Source organism: Homo sapiens, chromosome 5 (assembly GCF_000001405.40).
Source record: "Homo sapiens chromosome 5, GRCh38.p14 Primary Assembly".
Classification (NCBI taxonomy): Eukaryota; Metazoa; Chordata; class Mammalia; order Primates; family Hominidae; genus Homo; species Homo sapiens.
Window position 1 is genome coordinate 33,623,802 of NC_000005.10, and position 21,350 is coordinate 33,645,151.

Here is a 21,350-nt window from a genome sequence, read left to right on the forward strand (position 1 = left end):
TCCTCACTACAGAATCTGTCCTTGTGTCTGCAGCCTTCTCGGCCAGCTTCTGATCTCTTCTCTCCCCTAGTTCTTGGTCTGTTCCAATGCCATTGGCTTTAATGCTGGATCCTCTTGTGATGCTTGTTCCCAAAGGGGATCCTCTCCCAGAGATCACACTCTTATACCTGTTCCTGTGCACAACCACAGGGCCATTTCAGATCTCTATCTCACTGTGATGCATCCTGTATTTTGTCAGCAATCAACCCGTTTCCTACAACTGCCGAAGAACCCTTCCTCCTTTGTGGTAAAGGCTATATTCCATTTTGAATACTTTGAAAATCACAGACTGTTTAAAGAAATAAAAACAAAAACTAGGAACCAATCAACCATTTATCTTGCCCCCCACCTTTGGTCCCCTGCCACTTCGATTATTTATTTGTTTATTACCAGATCCTTCCTTCTGCTTAAACATCTTTCTCACAGTCTGGCAGGAAGAGCCATCTCCCAGGCACACACCGCAGCGATCCTCGGTGGCATTGGAATCGATCTCATAGTCACAGCCAACCATCTGTGGGGAAGAGAGGTGGAGGATGAATGCCCAGGCAGGGGATGCCACTCTTGCCTGGATCTGTGACTTCTTCTTTCCCCTTTGGTGCTTCATAAGACTGGGCAGGAGGTACCAGGTACAAGGACAAATGTTTGTTCCTGGTGGCAGCAAGAGGAATATCCAAGCATCCACCAATGGTAAAGGCACTACTTGCTCAGAGAGGAGGGAGGCACACATTGAGTGAGGTCTCTAATTTCCCGAGTCAGAGGCAGAACTGAACAAAATCTATGCAAATGTTCCAAAAATCTAACTATGAAAACATCTTGGAGTTGAAGCTGGTAGAGCAGCAAGTCTCTTTCAGATGTGTTCTCATCCTGGAAAAGGAGAGCCACGAAGCTTGGGGTGTTCTGTGGGAGTGGATACCAAAGAATCATGACACTTAGATTGAAAGTCATGAGCCGTATCTGACCTTCACCTGGACTTTTCTGTGGCTTGCTTTCTTCCATGACCAGAAGGGAAAGCTATACCATATTCCTTTAGTCATAAGTTTCTTTCTTGTTTGGGAACAATTGTGTCCAGATAGTTTCATTTCCTTTTTGATCTTTAAAGATCATTTTCTTTCTAACTTGAAAGCCACCTCAAATCTACTCAAAGGAAGAATCGTTTGAATCTCTTTTTAGAGAGAGATGGGATTTTGCTATTTTGCTCAGGCCAGAGTGCAGTAGCTATTCACAGTCAACAGCCTTGAACTCTTGGCCTCCCACCTCAGCCTTCTGAGTAGCTGGGACTACAGGTACCACACCAGGCTTATTTTGAGTCTTTAAATACACCCTCTACCAGCTAAACAGAGAATGAATACCCACTAACAGAAAATAGCTTCATTCTTTAGGTTAACTGTCTTTAATTTCCTTTAGGTCCAAAGACTGTGCTGCTTCACCTAGTAGGGGGAAAAAAATTAAGTGCTAAGAGATTTAAAAAAAAAAACACCAAAATTTAATTATGCTAATAACAATGGGAAAAAAAGCAATGTGGGAAACAGGTGCCTTTAGTGACTATGAGTAAAATGCCAGCCCTTCACAAGCAATATGTTTGCATCAAGCTTGAGCACCCTCTAATAAGCTGACATCTACAACCACATTCCCAGTGGCCTTCATTCCTTCACTGATTTAGAATGAGCTATGGAGATTGACTCTGAGGCATATTAATTTTAAAGTATTTTCTTTAATCTCTACCAACAGGGAAATAGATATAAAAAATGTGAAGAATAAAGGAAAGAAAGTCAGAAAAGCAAACATCTGAAGCCCAAGTCTTTTTTCTTGAATGGGTAGTTTTATATTTCTAAAGTAATATTTGCCTGCATAACTGAGAGACAAGGGTTGGGGGAAGGAGACACACCCATGTCCCCAACATTCTGTCCCACAGCATATTAAATGGGTTCTTGCAGAGACTCACCCAATTTAGTTTTCCTGTGAGCTGCATGCAGTACAATAAAAACTGAATTAAGTATGCAACAAAAGGTCTATGAAGACATAAACCAGTCCTCCTTGTTGCATATAAAACATAAGGAGCTCTCAGGGGAAAAGAAACAAACCTCACTCTTCTTCATAACATGCTCTGGCAACACAGAAAGCCCACAACAGTATGCTCTTTCTGCCTTCAGCAGAATCAGAGGTGGTTCCACTGCTGCTACCCTATGTGGAAAATGACTTCAGCATGGCCCTTTTCTGATGTGACTCTGAATATGCCAGGCAATCACCCCAATAGGTAGTGTGTTTGTGAAAAAAAATCACTTTGATTTCCCATCTTACCATCAATTACAATGGTGGTGGGAACAGTGATGGTAGTGGTGGTAATGATGGTGAAGGTGGTGATAATAGTGGTGATGGAGTAGTGGCGATGGTGATGGACAATAATGGTGGGGGGCAGGATGGTGGTAGTGGTGGGGGTGGTGGTGGTGACAGTGATGGTGCTGCGGGGTAATGGTGGCAGTGATGATGGTGGTGATGTGGTAGTAGTGGTGGTGATGTGATGGTGGTGGTGGTGATGGGGGTGATGGTAGTGGTGATGGTGGTGGGGGTGATGGTGATAGTGGTGATGTGGTAGTGATGGTAGTGATTTGATGGTAATAATGGTGGTGGTGGTGATGTGGTAGTGGTGGTGGTCATTTGATGGTAGTGGTGGTAATGTGGTAATGGTGGTGGTGATTTAATGGTAATGATGGTGGTGGTGGTGGTGATGTGATGGTGGTGGTGATTTAATGGTAATGATGGTGGTGGTGGTGGTGAGGTGACGGTGGTGGTGATTTGATGATGGTGTTGGTGGTGATGTGGTAATGGTGGTGGTGATTTGATGGTGGTAGTGGTAGTGGTGGTGATGTGGTAGTGGGGGTAGTGATTTGATGGTAATGGTGGTGGTGGTGGTGATGTGGTAGTGATGGTGATGATTTGATGATGGTGGTGGTGGTGATGCGGTAGGGTAGTGGTGATTTGACGATGGTGGTGGTGGTGATGTGGTAATGGTGGTGGTGATTTGATGGTGGTAGTGATAGCGGTGGTGATGGTGATTTGATGGTGGTGATGGTAGTGGTGGTGATGTGGTAGTAGTAATGATGATTTGCTGATGGTGGTGGTGGTTATGTGGTAGTGGTAATGATGATTTGATGGTAATGGTGGTGGTGATGCAGTAGGGTAGTGGTGATTTGATGATGGTGGTGGTGGTGATGTGGTAATGGTGGTGGTGATTTGATGGTGGTGGTAGTGGTGGTGGTGGTGATGATGGTTGTGGTGGTGGTGGTGGTGATGTGGTGGTGGTGGTGGTGGTCGTGGTGACTATGTGGTAATGGAGGTAGTGATGAGGTGGTGGTGATGGTGGGGTGATGGTGGTAGTGGTGGTGGAGATGGTGGAGTGATGGTGGTGGTGGTGGTGGTGGAGGTAGAGGTAGTGGTGGTTATGTGGTAGTGGTGGTGTTGATTTGATGATGGTGGTGGGGATGGTTGGGTGATGGAAGTGATGGTAGTGATGGTGGTGATGGTGGTGGTGTTGATGGTGGTGGTGGGAGTAGTGGTGGCGATGATGTAGTGGTGATGGTTGGGTGATAATGGTGGTGGATATGGTGGTGGTGATGGCAGCAGTGGTGGTGTTGGTGGTGGTGATATGGGGTGATGGTGATGATGGTGGTGGTGGTAGTGGTGGTGGTATAGTGAGTAATTAACTGTGAGAGGAGAGTTGAGAAAGACTCAAGAATGACTTACTGATTTCTGGCCTAGATATCAGTAAACCTAAATGGTTTTAGCATCATTCCAAAAAGAAGTGCTATAGAAGAACAGGTTGGGGCAAGAATTAGGTATAATTTTAATTTAGAAATGTTAAGATTGGAGTAACTCTCAGGCTTTTGAGGGTCAGGAGATAGGACCTGGTATTCTGAACGTAGATCTAGCTCTGAGCAATTGATTTAGGGATGTTTAGTGTATCACTGAGATGGCCAAAATGGCCTTGGAGATGAAAGAAGGTTCAAAAGAGTTTTTGAGAGAAATGAGTGAGGAAGCTAACTTGGGACAGTGGGAAGATTGTCAGGTAAGGATAAAAGCTTAGGTGGATTGAAGACATTGACTTTGTAAGGACACATGCATAACGTTGAATTTTTATTTTAAGGAGTGCACAGTAGGCTAATGGTAAGATCAAAAAAGGGGTGTGATGGGGTTGATCCAGAACCTTATCCAGAACTGGTGTAACAGATTGGGGGAAGGCTAAGAGAAAGTTAGGGAGCAGCTGATGGATAGACCAGGGCATCTGGTCTATTTTAGAAGGAAATTCAGCCAACGTTATGCTGACTGTGTGAAGACGGAGGAGTCCAGGAGCTGAAGTCAACCAACTGGTTACCAGGAGAAAGAGGGGAGAGAGCTGGAAGGTTAGCGAGCTGGCCTCAGACAGTGGGTATGAGAGTGAGAGTTCAGAGCTGGAAGTGGGTGGAGGTGAGTAGGGCATTTGCTCATTTTTAAAAGCTTATTCTATGTCATCCTGGTAATTTAAAACAGAAGGTGTCCTGAAAAGTCAAAGTTTAAATCTATATCTTTGATAAACAAGCTTACTAAAAAAAACTAGGGGGAAGGGCACAGATAGTTACCTCCCAGAACAAATTCAGTTCTGATCAGGGCTTGATAATTTCCTTGACAATAGAATCTGCAACTCTAACATACCAAAATATTGGCAAATATTGTAAATTCAAAATAGACATGAATATAAGCAACCAAGTTTTCATATTCACAACGAATGCAGATTAGACAAACACTGCATACATTGTTTTCCTGAAAGCATATACTTTTATGTAATACATGCTCAATCCCCTTTGAAAAAACTAGTAAATGAATAGGAGAGTAACAATAAGACTAACAAATAAGGAGCCTGGAATTACCTACAACCTGGATCCTTGAAGATAAAGTATTTAGGCTATTAAGCATATTTGATTTGACACCATTTTTTCAGCTTAAAAACTCAAACCAGTGTGCTATAGACAGAAAGTGGGTAATTATAGCTTCTAAAAGGTCTTAACTGGCTCCCACAAAGAGTAAGGCAGGCTGATAAAATCTGGCTTATTCTATTGGGTTCACTTGATTGGCCTCAAGAAAGACATCCAACTTATAATGGTTCTCAATCCTGGCTACTTATTAGAATGCCTGGAGAGCTTTTAGAAATTACTGATGTCTGGGCTCTATTTCAAACCTATTAATTCGGGATCTCTGGGATGTGGAGTCTGGGCATTGATGTTTTAAAATCTCCCCTGGTGATTATTATATGCAGCTAGGGCTGAGGACTTTAGTCACTGAGGAGTGAATGTGATGCTGAAATTATCTTTTAGATCTAAATACCTTTGCATTGAGAGAAATAGCATCTTTAGCCTGTGATGGAAAACAGGTGCCTTGAATAAAATAAATGAAAAAGCAACTGTATAGATAAATATGAAACTTCTCAGAGTGCTGAATATTTAGGGGCAAGAGCTTGTCACAGGGAATAATTTTGTCCAGTGGAAAAACATATTATAAATATTTTTAAAAAACAAAATTTGTTGAGTTTACAAATCTGTTTTCTAAGAGTTCATTTTACACCAGGGCCTCTGTTAAGAGCTTAACATATATTACCTGTGAAAGTTGTCAGAATCAAAATGGAGCAACTAATGTTAAGAAAAAACCCTGATAAATATAGCCAGGGAAGGCTAGGAAGAATGAGTTCTCACCCTTGTATGCCTGATGATGAAAAAGCCTCTGCAAACACCACAACCTTGCACAAAGGCTATCACAACCTTACACAAAGAATACTTTTGCAATGACATCTGCCCAGCAACTTCCTGAGCAACCTTGGATTGGCGTCACCCTTGTTATTGATCTCTGCAGGAAATAATAATTATTTAAAAACAATTTTGCAATTCTCTTCAACTTCTTTCCTTTAAAAATTTTCATTTTCTTTTAAAAACCCTTGTCTTCCTTTACCTTCCTAAATATGCACATAGTTAACTGTGGCATACATATTCCCATTGCAATGCACTATTCCCAAATAAGCTTCATTTTCTTTTAGAGAGCTTCTCTCTGTCTGTTATTTAGGTTAACTGACCTTATTTAATCTTTTGACAACCCCACCTAGGCAGATACATAAAAATATCCCAGTTTTATGACAGAAGACTGAGTCTTAGAAAGATGTATAGGATCATACAACTAGTAAATGATGGTGTTGAGTTCATATTCTAAAACCCCAGTGCTAAACCATTATGATTCACTAACTGATTAAAACATCTTCCTTTAACCAATTAAAAACACTTTCTCTTTAAACTGAGATTTATGCCTGGGGGTTGGATCACAAGTCCTGCTCCTCAGTTCCTTGCAAAATAAAATGCAAGCAGCAACAAGGAATTCTTTAATGGTTACACACTTAAAAGCATCAACACATCAGGTCTAAATAATTTATATAGACTTGATTAATGAAGTGAGTGTGGAAAAATTACATAGAAATCAGAAACGTGTTTTGTAACTATTGTCATGCCGTCTCTCTGAGAAGCTCATGTTGATAGTCAATGGAGAATTAAATGTGAAAATGCATTATGAAAAGTACCATAGAAACTATTATTAATTTCAGTTTTTCTCAAATTTAATGCCACTGAAATAATCTGGGCTGGGTTTTCCTGATAATTCCTCTTTTTCATGCTCAATGTCTAAAACAATATCGTAGTGCACATCAACTAATCAAGAAATGAAGATGACGGCAGAAGGAAAAAACTATTCAATCCAAAACTGTGACTTTGATGAACACTGGGAAGTCTTATCTTTTCGTTTCATGAACTATATATAAAAAACAGATGAGGTGTAAATGCTGTGAAAGCACAAACCTAGAACATCTGACTTCCCAAATTAGTAAAAGTCATGATTTTATAAAGTTGTAGATTAAGGAAACATACCCAATACCTTACATATGCCATTAATACAGACATTTCTGCTGTTGCCGCCTTCAAAGCAAGGGGTACCATCAATGACAGCATCCAGCATTTTCTCAGAAAACTGGCCATCTATGGGTCGGCAGTAGAGCTCACAAGGATGTGCTGAAGGGAAAAAAGAAGGCAAAGCCTTGCAAATTAGCTTTTAGCTCAGCATCCTCCCCCAGGATTCCTCCGTACTTAGGACCCCCAAGTGTCATTTACTCTGGCAATCCCACCTTTTCACCTCCTTGAGACACATGCTGAAATATGCCTCAAGACACATTTCACACATCCAGGTGCTGAATCCAAGGATTATTTTTCCTTTTTCAAAACAAGTTTCATAATGAATTAAATTAAAAGGTTGCTTTAAAATACTCTATGCTTTGCTGTAAACAATGACTTCTTTCTATTCAACATTGAATTGTGCTTATAAAAATAAGGCACTGGGCATCTGGGGTTAGCTTAGAAAATAAGTTATTGCAACCAGCCATGAAGGACTCCAGGCAAGCGGGATGCCTGCTTGTTTCTTGCAGCAAAGTAAGTAGACCTCCAGGGGACAGGCATCCCCTCCCACAGAGCCAGCTCATTACTACCACAACCTCCATCACCACCAGCATAATCCTGCCCCAACAAATATCCTCCTCCAGTCTAAGAGGTGCTTAGATTGACAACCATGTAGAAACATTTTTTTTGTTGAAGCTGAAGCCAACCTGCTTATCATAGTGATCCATCCCATCATCTTGGTCCTACACTGAATCCATTCTAAGGTTCAGTTTTCTACTCCATTGTGAATGAAGATAGGGTGATCTAGAGCACAGGAACATTTACATAATAAAATGCATACCCATATGTATGTATACAGAATAACCAGAAAGATAGATAACATTTAAATCACAGATTGCCTTAAAAATTTTAATAGTGAATACATGTATATGATAAGAAGAATTCAAATAATAATTTTTTAATGAATGTAATGAATGCTTTTCTTTAGTGAAAAACACAATAATGTCTTCTTTGGCAGGGATTTTGGGGTCTCTTCTGGATGTGTTTATTATGGGCAGGGCTGTTAGTTCCTTCATTGTGTGATCAGCTGAGGACTCAATGGTACCAGCCATAAGGCTATTCGTCATGGGCCCTTCTCACTGGGCTGGGCACCAAATGCCAAGCCTGAGTGCACAGTGATGGCTCTGTCTGCTTGAGGTTGCAGTGATTCATGTGGCCAGGAAATGAAAGTGCAAATTTCACACAAATGTAACCATGAGCAAAAGCTCCAAATGCTGAAATGCTGAACAAACTTGAGACTGAGGTCAAAAACATGTTTAAAGCTTAAAAGAGATAAGTGAACTAGTTCAGAAGCAGAAAGTTAGATAACACATGTTCTCACTTTTAATTGAGAGCTAAACATTGGATACCCATAGAGATAAAGATGGAGATAGACTCTGGGGACTCCAAAAGTAAGGAGGGTGGAAGGAGTTTGAGGGTTGAAAAATTACCTATTGGGTACAGTGTTCAATATTTGGGTGCTAGGTACACTAGAACCCCAATCCCTACCATTATGCGTGTAATACCCAGGTAACAAACAAGCACATGTGCTCCCTGAATCCAAAAACAAACAAACAAACAAAAAAGCTTAAAAGAGAAAGATAAAAGCAAATATGTAAATAAAGAAAACCAACTGATTTCATATAAGGTGCAGTGGATAAGCTGTCTGACCAGATAGACTCAAAATGAGTTGAAGAGATCATTGGATAAACAGCCAGGGGAAAAGTGTCAAGACTCTGGGACAAAGCGTGACTTGGGATTATTGTGTAGCTCCATTTCTGGTAGCACGATTAGCTCTGTTACTGCGCAAACTGGAATAGAAGTACTAAAGGGAGCAACCTGGGAACAATTCTATTCTCCTAAGGATGAGAACATCAATCCAGGTGCTGAATCCAAGGATTATTTTATTAAGACTTTGGTTTAAACTTTAGAATTGGATTTGGGATTTTGTATTTGGAATACATAAAGCAAAAATAGAAAGCGGCCCTGAATAATTCTGGAGCTTTTCTAAGGAATCATCTGTTTCAAGGCTGCTGGGAAGAGTTGGGACCAGAGCATGTTCATTGCGGCAACGGAATGTTTATTCAGAGAGAAACGGACAGATTCACTAAGTCGCATTTACATAATGGACTGCTATGCAGTCACTAAAAGGAATGAGGTAAACCATGATGCCATGATCTACTCAGTGCATCAAGTTGCAGAACTGGCAAATTATGGTTCTATTTGTGTGCAAATGAAAACCTGCTGTTAGCATGGTTATCTTGGAGGAATACATTAAATGCAGTGGGATAATAGGAATTCATTTCTGTTTCATTCTACTATATGCACTTGCATTTTTATAAGACACATATATTCCTTTTAAAAATAATAAGTCTTGGCCCTCAAATAGGAAAACTGGAAAAGTCTTCTTTCCCCAGTGATATTCATGACACATCACCATAAAGAGAGTCTCTAATTTCAAAACTTCCCTTCATCCTGTTTCCACAACACAGGACTAGTACATTCTTCAAGGCTAGACAGGTTAACTGAAGTACACTGCCTACAAGAAACACACATGTGTGTTGACTATAAGTATAGTGGTTTATGGAGTCTTAGAAATTATCCAGGAAATAACATTTATAATAACAACAATGACAGCATACAGGTCCTCTGCTGCAACTCTCCCAGAGCTCCCACCACCATGACCTATAGGTGTGCCTCAGGCCTATGTTTGAAAGCAGTCATCCTAAATGGAAGGTTCAGTGCTATTCAAGGCTTTTATAAGGCTGAGCCTGAAGTCCTCCTCTGTCCCCTCCTTCTCTGGCCTTTGTCTTTCATGGTGCTCTGGAAGGGCTGTGGTTATATCATTAAGTTGTCCTGTGGCACAGGGATCTGCAGGAGGAGGCAAGGGTGGTAATGGATGGTCTTAATTCTTGGGAGTCATCACTGGTATCAGAGATTCTCTGTGCCGGACATCAACCTTGTTGAGTCCATCATCTCTACAGAGTTGAGTACTTTCCTTGTCTCACATTTACTCCCCTGCCCTGACACATCCTTTTTTAGGGTCATGTGATTTTTTTTCCCTCTAGCTTTCAAAAGCTTTCAAGTCCATTTATAATTCACCTAAGCAAAAGCTCTAAAACTAATTTACTAGTGAACTCTCACCCTCACACTCTCTGATTAATCCTCTCAAAGGGAGCTTAGGAAAAGAGATGAACTTACCGAATCAAAGTTTGCATTTTCAATTTTGCAGAAACAGGGTGGCTCAACATTTTTGGATAATGATCTTAATAAATGACAGAAATGAAAGCTCTAACTTGCTAAAAAGAATGAAAATATTTCTTAGGTAAGGAAAAGTTTTGATGCATTTCGTGTTTTGTGAATAGACTGGAAAGTGAGTTTCATCATTTTAAAGAATCCAGTTTCTAAAATCCATTCACAGGCAGGGCTTCGTGGGCATTAGACCGGTGCTTTTACCCAGGACCTCACACTTGGTTGAATGCTATTGTCTCTGTCTTGCAATTCTTAAACATTTTACCTTTGAACTTGTGTTCGGTAAGGGAAGGCCAAAACGGGAAGGCGGTGTGCACATGAAGAGAAGGGATCTGTGGTGTGCACCCCTGCCACTCCTCAACAGATCCCAAGAAATACTAAACCCCAAAGCAAAAGGCATAACTTAAAATGTTTTATTGATGCAAGAAGTTACGTTTAACTTAAAAAGGAAGCTCAGCTAAGAATTAAAATCAAATCAGCTTGGAGGAAAAAGCAAAAATGAAAACTTGTCACTCTGTATCACAGCCCAAAATCAGTCATTACCAAGAGTTTGAAACCTTTGGCTAGTCTAAAATGGTATTCTTGTACTTTCTAATACTATAATCTTATTGTAATCCCCACAATACATAGAAATATGTATTAGTGAAATATAAGAAGGCATTAAAATGAATATATTCTATAGTAACCACAGAAAGGTATAAAAACAAAAGTAGAAATAATTTTTTAAAATGAATTAAACCCTTGTCATTGATGTTTTCTCTTTATTTTATATTTTATTTTTAAAATTTTTCTGTAGAGGCAGGGTCTTACTCTGTCACCCAGGCTGGAGTGAGGTGGTGCAATCATAGGTCATTACAGCCTTAAACTTCTGTGATGAAGCGATCCTCCCGCCCCACCCTCCTGACTAGTTCGGATTACAGGGGTGCACCACTATGCCTGGCTGTATTGATGTATTATATTAGGGTAAGTGCAGTAATGAGTTTTCTATTTACCGTGTAGTTTTAAGTTCTGTCTTTTGGTTAAGATGCTTAAGAGGTAAACTTAGAATCACAACTTAAATTATTTAAGCAATGTAATAATTAGTCATCAATGCTTAAATGTTTAGAAAACACTGGTTCTCAAGGGCAAGATATATAGGTTTAATAAACTGAGCCTTAATCATAATAAAAAGGGTTGTTGGGTTTTCTAGCAGAGCTCCTGGCTTACGAAATAATCGAAGGTTTTAAAGACATGAACATTGCCTTAGGGAAAATTCAAAATTCAGTGCATTGGTCTTAAGGAAATGAACTTAACCCAGTCCCTGTGTGTTTTCGTGCTTAATGATGAGGCTGCAGAGTCAGGCATGGGCTAACTCTTGGTTCTATTTCATAGTCTGAATTTGGGCAAGTTACAGAGGTCCTCCGAACCTATTAGCTTATCTCTAAAAATTGGGTCAAAAACAGCTCTCCTTGAAGGGTTTTCTTGTGGAGATAAAATTAGGAAAAAGCATATAAAGTGCTGTGGGAAGTATCACTGTCCACTGAGGGGGTAGAAAACTCTGCTGTATGTTTATTTTATCCTCTGGTGATTTCTAAAAGGATGCCTGGGAGGCTGTAAGGCCCTCGATATCTGGCACAGAAAAAATGCTGCATAAATCCTTGTTGACATGAACGACCTACTGGCAGGGATGCCTGTTAACTAAGCAAATAGCAACTCTGTAGACAGAGTATAATGGGGAAAGTCATCAGTGTGCTGTTCAAGGTAGTAGCTATTCAGGTTAGCAGATAAGTCATTGTCTGCTAATGAAAATAATAGCATAGGAATCTGTAAAGAAACTACCGGGATAGAGGATGAATACTGATAGACTGGGTAGGGAGTAAGGTCAGCAGGTGGCAAACTTCATCTGAGTTAGAGAAGCAAATCAATCACTCCAGAGTGAGTGGAATTGATGTCAACTTGTATAACGCTCACTTCTTTAGTACCTATTGCTTTGCTAGTCAAAAAGTAGGCACATGATGAATGCTTGCAAACAAATGAAAAGCAATGCTGAATCAAATATTTTTATTCTAAGTCCAGCTACTTGAGCCATCAGGGTTAGATAGACACAAATCCAACTGTATATCTGGGAGGGGGATCCCGTACTAAGCACATGTGATATCACTGGAGCAGCTATGCTATCTTAGCTCTGACAGGCTGCTCATTCAGAGTCTACAGGACCACTGACCCAAATAGTTTTAACAAATCAAGAATGCGCAGGATATACACATAGATAGCACTGGCTGGATGCACCTTTCATCACTTGATAATTTTGGAGTACACCTGAGTATATGTCTGAGTTTTCCTGTATTCAAATGCCTGACTCAGGAAACTAAATTGCACCAATAACCAAATGGTTTTCCCCTCTAGATCATAAATGACACCAAACGATTGGGGGCAAGGAGCAATCACTGCCCTTGACAACTAAGAGCATCAGGGTATTTTGGAGACCTGAGCTGAGCAAACCACTGCAGAGTCTTTCTTTCAAAAGCTATTGCATAAGTCATTGTTCTAACAGCCCAAATACACAATTCTCAAATCTGTGATTTTTCTTGTGCCCTATTCACAATGGATTTTCTGGAACTCAAAAATCATGAAAAATTTGATTAGCTATTTTTTACTACCTTGCCTTAAATTTCTTTAACACAGGAAAATCTTTTCTGTTTCATTTCCTACTCAGATAACAACAAACAACACAAATATGTTTTTTGATGTTGATGTCTAGCTAACGGTCATTGATTCTTCTTCATTTTAAGGAGAGAATGTGTCTGGACGTTTTGCCAAGGCCGCTATTCCATTCTCCAACTCCATTATGTCCCCATCCCTCCTGTGCAACATTCAGATGTTTGATTTTACTTTTCACCCTTCTCATACTCCAGTACATATAAAATGTTGACTTCTGTTGCAGAGCTGGCTTTTGTTCTTTCATTCCTATTATCTTGCCTTTCCGCCTGTTATTCTACTCCCACTTGGAATGACTCTATTTTGAATGTCTTCCCTTTTCTTTCTTCTTGTGGAAAGACTGCTCATGAAAGCATAAGTAGTCTTAAGAATCATCAACTGCTTCACTGGAAGCCTTTTTTTTGCAATTACTTCAAACCCACAATGACCTTTTCTTCGGAATTTCTGACGAAATCACAGTCAGTTTCTCATGTCCATCAACAAGCAATTAGTTACTGAATTCCTACATGTCCTATTAATGGCTCAATTGCACCTCAGCTGTTTTGAAGCAAGTCACCATGTTTTATAAACTTCTTTTATCTCCCACAAAGCTCAGACAGAGTTGAATGTATTCAGCCTTCAACATTTACTGATCAACTTAACCAGGTCAGTGTTTCCATCTTCTAAATTACAAAATTCCTGGTGTACAATTGTCTTTGTTAAGCTTTGTGTGGATCACAGAAACCCTGACTGACATACAAATGCTTTGAGAATGGCTGTTCCCTAGATCTGAGATACACCATTACAGCTCCTTACCTGGGTTAAAAATGGGAAACCAGTGGTAGAGTTCATTCTTGTAGGGAACAGTGTCAAATTCACTGCACTGCATCTGCCGAAATGTTGGTGCCTCTGAGCGACAGGGGTGGACGTTGCACAAGCGATAGCGTTTTCTTTCTCCAGTGCAATATTTCCCTCCAAACTTTGGCCTGCAAATGAAACAGACAAGCTTTTCTTTTAGTTTGCTTCAACGCCAGCACTTTCCTTTAAAACTCCTCTGGTATCTGGCCTTGACAAATGATGTCTCTCTATGCCCTCAAAACTTACCTTTTAAATAACTGCTTCAAATTTTACACATTTTTTCCTTGCCTGACAACATTTCAGTCCTAAGTGTATAGTAGCTTATTTTGAAATAGTTTATATATCATTTCCACCTGTATATCCTCCAGGTGAAATCTACGCCAAAAAAGGATACATCATTTTCCTTTCGAGTATGCTCCTTCTCTGATTCCTATTTGGTGAGTTAAAAGTGGTCAGATTTCAGAATCATCCATCTGTGCCTTCCTTGGATCCCACAGTCAATCAGTTGCCTGGTCATCAGTTGCCTATTTACATTTGTTTCCTACTCTTCAACTCTGCAATAATCAAACCAGTCCAATTCTTATCTCCATTCCTATCTCTACTTTTAAAATTCTTATCTCCATTTCTATCTCTACTTTTAAAATTGAACCCACAGTACAAACAATTATCAGGCTAAATTTTCAGATGACCTTAATTATTTTAGTTCCCTGTTTTAAAATCACTAACAGCATCCAATGGTCACATCAGCCTCCTGAGCTTGGCATTCAAAGCTCTCACAATCCTGCCTTAACTCACCTTAACAATTTACTTCCCACACTCTGCTTCATGTTACACTGCTCCAGTGGTGCCACCTGCCTTATTTAATATTTCTTTTCTGTGCATTTGGATAGATTTTTTTCCTCCCTTAAAGTCTCCACATGTCTACATACTGCTCATGCTTGAAGAACTAAATAAATGCTACCTCCTTCACGAATCCTTCCTGGATTTCCACCAGCAGTAATTTTTTTCTCCTCTTCAGTGACACTTTGTGTGCCAGCTGCCTGCACGTCCTGAATCTATCATTCCCAAAGATAGTTCTTTGATGGCACAATCCAAGCTCTGTGTCCTCTGTGGTGCCTCACAGTACTTTGGGCATAGGAGGCTCTTAATAGATATTCAATGGGTGAATAAGTTAATCTTATTTTAGAAAAATCACTTTTTGATTTTTCTTTCCTTTGTGATACACCTGAGGGCATACCAGCCTTCCTGTCAGGATCAATGGGTCTCTCAAAATGGGAGAGGGGAGACGTGAAGAAACTATCCTTTGAGAAGGTTCCCAGGCATGCCTTCTGGTCTCCATCTTGCTGCAGTATCTGAATCAGGGAGTGTGCCTCCTATCGCAGGAGTGCCAATAGCCTGGAGTTCGAATTTGGTATTATCTTTTTGTTAGATGGATCTGAATAAGTTACCTCATTTCTCTGAGCCTCAGTTTTTTTTCGTTTGTAAAATGAGCATAATAGTTTTTATCTCACAAGTTGTATTGCATGAGACAATGCACACACAGATTTAGTAGAGTAACTAACACAGAATGAGAGATCAATAACTGAGAGCATTTTTTTTGGTTATCGTGAATAATAATCAACCAGCATTTATATACTACCATGTGCTCAACACTGTTCAGGGAGAAGAGAGTGCAAATGAAGGTCAACCCATGCTCTATGCTTCCTAGAAGTTTATAATTTGGTTGAGGAGAAAAAAATGAGCTATATAAGAAATGAGAGAAAATTTAAGACAGCAATTATGTATCCCAGACTGAAAGTACAATGAGAGTTATGTGAAGGGGAAAGCCATGGAAATGAGGCTAGTTGGGAAGGATTTACGGAAGGGCTTGTCCTGGAGAATGGTCTTAAAGGACGACTGGAAAGTCCTTCTCAGTGCAAAGGCAGAAGGCATGTCGAGCGAGCAGTCCAGATGAAATCGTATTCCAGGGACACAGAAAGCTAGAACAGCTCCCCAAAGGACACAGGTGGTAGTGGCAAAGCCAAGACTTGAATCGTCGTCTTCCTTGATCCAAAGCCTGAGCTCTTATCCACTATGTTACACTGCCTGACCACAAAATCCTGAGAGACAGAGAACTCAAATCCTGGCAGTCTAGTCAAGTACTGGTTGCAGCTGTAATTCTTGTTGATTCTGCTGTACTTTGTTCTCCTTGAATGCCCATGAGATTTTCTATACCTCCCCTCCCTCAATGTGGCCTGAGTAAGCTTCTGTTCCTCACTCATGAAAGAGTTTTGACCAAGGCAGTTCACATAGTAGGCTCTTAATTTGTTGATTCCCTTTAGGAGGTACCAAGAATTGTCCTTGTTATTTAAGGTGAGGCTGGTTTTCTATTTGTGCTGATGCAGGGACACTCTATGACCTGGTATGTCTCCAATTCATTTCCATCCAATCAATATCACTGACAGCCTCTTATGAGCCGAGCTCTGCTGGGTTCTCACTAGACAGTTGACCTACAGCAAGGATGCAGTCCCAAGATCAGCTGGCTCATGCACTGGCCTGAATCTGTGACTTGAACCACAGATCCAAATCTATGATGCGGTGCCATTGGCAGTGTTAGCAATGAATTTAAGCAAACCGGCAATGAAGAACAGGCATGTCCACTCACCCAAAGAGACTCTATGACAAACTGTGGCCTTGGAGATGAGAATTAGAACTACCTTTCTCCTGAAGCCAGGTTAGAGATTCATCCTTCACCTCCTCAACTAGGAGTTCCCTTCTCTGATAGCCACAAGTCACTGACCAACCTGCCAAGAACTTTCACACTGGTGGTGTCTGAATATACAGCATTGACAATAAGTCCCAGAGCAAATTGCCTTTCTTTTCTGATCTCTCAAATGAAAATGGAAATCACATTTCTGGATCAAATGGAAACAAACGATTAAATGACAATTTTCTCTAAAAACAAAATACTCTATGAGAAACTCTTGGTTTTGAATTTTGAAAGTCACAGAAACCCAGTACTTAAATAAAACAACTTTCATCAAAGGGTGAAATTTTAAAATAATTTTGTGAAGAATTTCCAAATGCATGCTTATAAATGTGGTAAATGATAAAGATTCATAATAACTACTATTTATTAACACTTTATTATGTAGTAGATACTGTGTTAAATTCCTTACACATACTAACTTATTAACCCTTAGAAAAAATATATAATATATATAGTGTATATATGTATATATGTAATGTATACATGCATATATATTCATATATACATATACTTATATTTAAATACTATACATCTAGGTAATACAGTTATTAACAAAAAGGATAAATAACCTTTGGAATTGAGATATTGAGAGATAAAATCACTTTTATTGCTCGCCTTTTAAAAAATGTGACTCCTACTTTTCAAAGTAGATGAATGTAAATTTAGATAAAAGAAACAATATAATTTCCACTTAAAGGAGATATCACATATACACTTTTAAGAAATTACTTGGGAGACAGTATATCAGAAAATAATGAAATTAAGAATGTAATGTGTATTTGGAAAACAAGCAAGTTTAAATTTACCTCATATATAATATTATCATACAAATAGAATATATGAAAAATTAAGCAATTTGCTTAAACAATTGAAAGTCACTTGTAAAATAACATTTGCAGAATCCTTAACAGGCCACTGCGGAACTTTAGGGTTTATAAAAATCCTTATCGAAAAATATTAAAAATAATTGTCCTCAAAAATGTACCTGTTTTACTAGTTGCTTAAGGAAAGAATTATTCTCATAAAATTGTGTATTCATTATCATTGAAAGCAAGCTACAATCTTATCAGCAAAATTGCGTTTCACTAATCTCTACTGATAAAATTGAGTTATTTAAAAAGATTTAATTGTATAATCTCCTAGAGGCTTTCACATAGATTGCACATTTAAAAGAAATTTGCTTTATTTCCCCAAATGATAAAATCAGCTTACTTATCCAAGTTTTAGTGAGAATCCAGTGCCAAGCCGAAATGAAACAACACAAAACAGAACCACTTTTTTTCCCCACTCTCTGTGAATCTTCTTGTTCTGTTTTGTCCTGGGAACCCATTTAATTTACCTGGAGGAGGCTTGGGGTCACTGAGGTCATGCCATTCAAGACTGCCCCCCATCCCGCCCCCAGCACATGTGGAGAGAAGGGAAATATATTTATCTGGACTCACTCGGGGTTGTTGCAGAGCCTCTCTGCGCTCTGGACTCCAGCCCCACAGGTCCTGGAACAGTGGGACCAGGGTGACCAGCGGCCCCAGCCTCCAGGAATGCTCTCTGGTTTCTTCCCCACTGTGATGCACTTGCCTGCCATACACCACTGGAAAGGGAAGAGGCAGGAGATGGCCGTATCAGGAAGGTTACCAGAGCAAGCTGAGCCAAGAGCCCTAAAAGTCTAAACCCAATTCTCTGCAAGCAAGCCGGCTTTCTACAGTCACATATCAGATGTAAAACAAACAGGGGCTCATATAAGTTTCTGCCAAGAGTCGTGGGTTTTAGAATCAGAGAGTTTCAAGAATGGAAGGAAACTTTACGTTGCCTAATCACACAGGTGCTACACAGTGTGGTTGGCAGATCGAGCACGAGAATGTAAATCAACATACTACTTTTTTCATTGAGAAAGTCTTGTTAGGAAAAGCATGTCAGCTTAGTATGCTTAGCAACATAGTTGCTTAGTAACATAGTTGATTTGCTTTCTGGTGCATGATCCTTATCTTGTTGCAAACCACAATAGTTCACAGACTGGCACAGCGAATAGCACTTCTTTATAGCTCTCTGGGAACTTAATGACTGCAACAGAGAACTCATCCGCTGCAAAAAGTCAATTTCACTGCCAAAACACACTAGCTGTTAGGAAGTTCTTCATTACATCAAGAAAAAAATTACACTTTCTTTTAACTCTACCCATTGTTTGCAGCTCTGGCCTTTCAAGCAACTAAGAAAAAATCCACTCTCTCCCCTCTTCAAGGCAATCCTTCCACGACTATCGGTTTAGGAGAGTAAATATACAAAAATGAAAACAAAGGGAAATGCTATGTGGTTGTCGTGAATAACCACATTTCCTGGAGGATTTGGACATGTTTTATTGTCTGATATCCTTTTTTTCCTCTTGTGTTTTTTCTGGCCACTGTGTATTTTGCCCGGGTTCTGTAATCTCAGTGAGGGGTCCTGCCACACTCAAGCTGCATAAAGATGCCCACAAAACATGTAAGCTCTAGGCCCACAAGGAACCCAGCCTAGAGGATATCAAACCTCTCTGTGTTCTGTGGTGTCTGATTTGCCTGCTTAGTAAAGTAGCAGAACTTCAAGAAATGCAGTCATGTCAGAAGATGAGAAAGAAGATGATAAGTGGCCTAAATCCTGCATTTTTGGGAAAAGAAGCCGCTGGCTTATCCTTTTCAATCTTCCATATGAGAGAAAAAAAGTCAAAAGGAAGGCTGATAATAAGCTTAGGAAATGTTGACCACAAACTCCATAGAAATTCATCAGGGAAAGATGAAACAGATGTTTTACAAGTGAAGTGTGAAACTGGACCTCAGCCCTCCCTCCTTAACTACCTGCTCCCAAAGCAGGTTCACCAGGAGTGGTGGATGTGGGTGATCTCCTCTGGCTGGTCTGACTGTTTGACCTCCATCCACTGCTCTTCCCTTAGAGAGAGTTGCCCTCTAGGGCCTTCTCCTCAGCTCCTCCCAAGAACTCTGCCCACCGCCCTCCCACCTCATTCCTCGGCCTGACGCATCACCTTCTTCTCACCACATTGAGTTCCATCTGCAGCAGCGTCCAGCTTAGAGCGACAAAAGCCCTTCACGGAGCACCACAGTGTCTGGCAGACGTTCTAGAAAACAAATTGCACTTCTTTTGTATTTTCAAAACCTGCCACAAAGCATTTCTATAGTTACAGTAAAATATGCACACTCATCCACACACTCACAATAAATGCCACTGTTGTTAGTGACTAAGAGTGACAGAAAGCAATCATTAGAGTTTTCAGTTCAAGCTTAACTTGGACTTTGTCATCATTCATAAACAATGGTCTATAGATCATACTAGGTAATATGGAAATGAGGGATAAAACCTATTTTCTAAGGGTTGAGATGGTCATTTCTATATGTTTGGCACAATATCCAGCCCTCATTGCTCTTGGGAAAGGTAACTGGTGATCATCTATGAAAGGTAAATCTAAACTGTGGCTGGAAGGCAACCTGATTACTAACAGTTGGGGGTGGTTATAACTTGAGCCTGCTCAGTGAAGAAAATGGAAACTCTTCCATCTAGAAAGCCTCAGCTTGTTCACTTATTACCTTAAGTAGTCAGCTGGTTTCAGTTTCCAGGAAGAGAGCTGCATATTCCTTCTTATTTCTACCCTTATGGGGATAAAGGAAGGTTGGCAGGATTCTCAGATGCCATCTGAAATGGCTTAGCTGCTTCCATCTATCTATCAGTATTTTTTTCTGTCTATTCATCTTCCATAGTTCTATCCACTTATTGTGTTCTACACTGCATGTGTTTTTTCATTATATGACTTGATATTTTAAGCCATTTTAGAAAATTATCAATCTTTCTCTCTCTAAATTTTGCCTCTCCTTTCTCTCCTTTTGGAACCCGTAATTGTTGTTGATGGACCTTCTTATTCTGTACTTTGTGTTTCAACCTCACTTTCATATTCCTCATCTCTCAATCTTGTTGTATATGAAAACCGAAGAAACTTTCTCCTCCATCACACACCCCTAAGAAGCACCCAAGTGGGAAGGGAAGTAATTTTCTCAGCTCTAAATTCCATTTGATTGATTTTCTTTTCAACCATGTCAAGTCTGCTGTTTAATCCATCCACTGAATTTTTAAGTCAATAACCACACCTTCCATTTCCAGAAGTTATATTTATTCTTCCTCATATCTGCCTTACATATATCTTCTGGTTCTTTTTTCTCATGTACAGTTCATTCTTATATATTTATTTTATTATCCCTATATAAAAATTCAATTTTTGAAAGTTCTTAAGGGCTTGTTAAGGGCTTCTTAAGGGCTTCAGCTCACTTAGCTGAAGATAGACTACATTAGATTTTTGAATTAGAGGCTGAATTATGAACTCATCTGAAGGGTGGCTTTTTTTTTTTTGACAGAGTCTCACTCTGTCATCCAGGCTGGAGTGCAGTGGTGCCATCTCGGCTCACTGCAAGCTCTGCCTCCTGGGTTCACGCCATTCTCCTGCCTCAACCTACTGAGTAGCTGGGACTGCAGACACCCGCCTCCACGCCCGGCTAATTTTTTGTATCTGTAGTAGAGACGGGGTTTCACAGTGTTAGCCAGGATGGTCTTGATCTCCTGACCTCGTGATCTGCCCACCTTGGCCTCCCAAAGTGCTGGGATTACAGGCGTAAGCCACCGTACCCGGCCTAGGGTGGCTTTATCTATTGGAGTTTCATGCCACCTTGGTTGAGTGTTGGTTCCTCTGGGCCAGTTTCACCTTTATTTCCAGGCATCCATGGTATCTCCAGGACAAATGCTTTATTTATTAT

At 40.1% G+C, this 21,350-nt stretch overlaps 1 protein-coding gene across 7 annotated transcripts in view; it reads right to left on the bottom strand.

Moving 5' to 3' along the window:
- ADAMTS12 (ADAM metallopeptidase with thrombospondin type 1 motif 12) overlaps positions 1 to 21,350 on the bottom strand; it is a 368,456-nt gene that overhangs the window by 100,267 nt on the left and 246,839 nt on the right. For 3 of the 7 annotated variants that reach the window (NM_030955.4, XM_017009905.2, XM_017009906.1), the window contains 5 exons: positions 19,577 to 19,669; positions 18,009 to 18,154; positions 13,776 to 13,945; positions 6,979 to 7,112; positions 430 to 550 (listed from right to left, as the gene is read on the bottom strand). In NM_030955.4, the coding sequence (NP_112217.2) occupies positions 430 to 550; positions 6,979 to 7,112; positions 13,776 to 13,945; positions 18,009 to 18,154; positions 19,577 to 19,669 (664 nt within the window). Of the gene's footprint in view, positions 1 to 429; positions 551 to 5,759; positions 5,906 to 6,971; positions 7,113 to 13,775; positions 13,946 to 18,008; positions 18,155 to 19,576; positions 19,670 to 21,350 lie in introns of those variants that run through there. The other 4 variants (XM_017009907.1, NM_001324512.2, XM_017009908.1 and 1 more) reach the window with 4 other exon arrangements.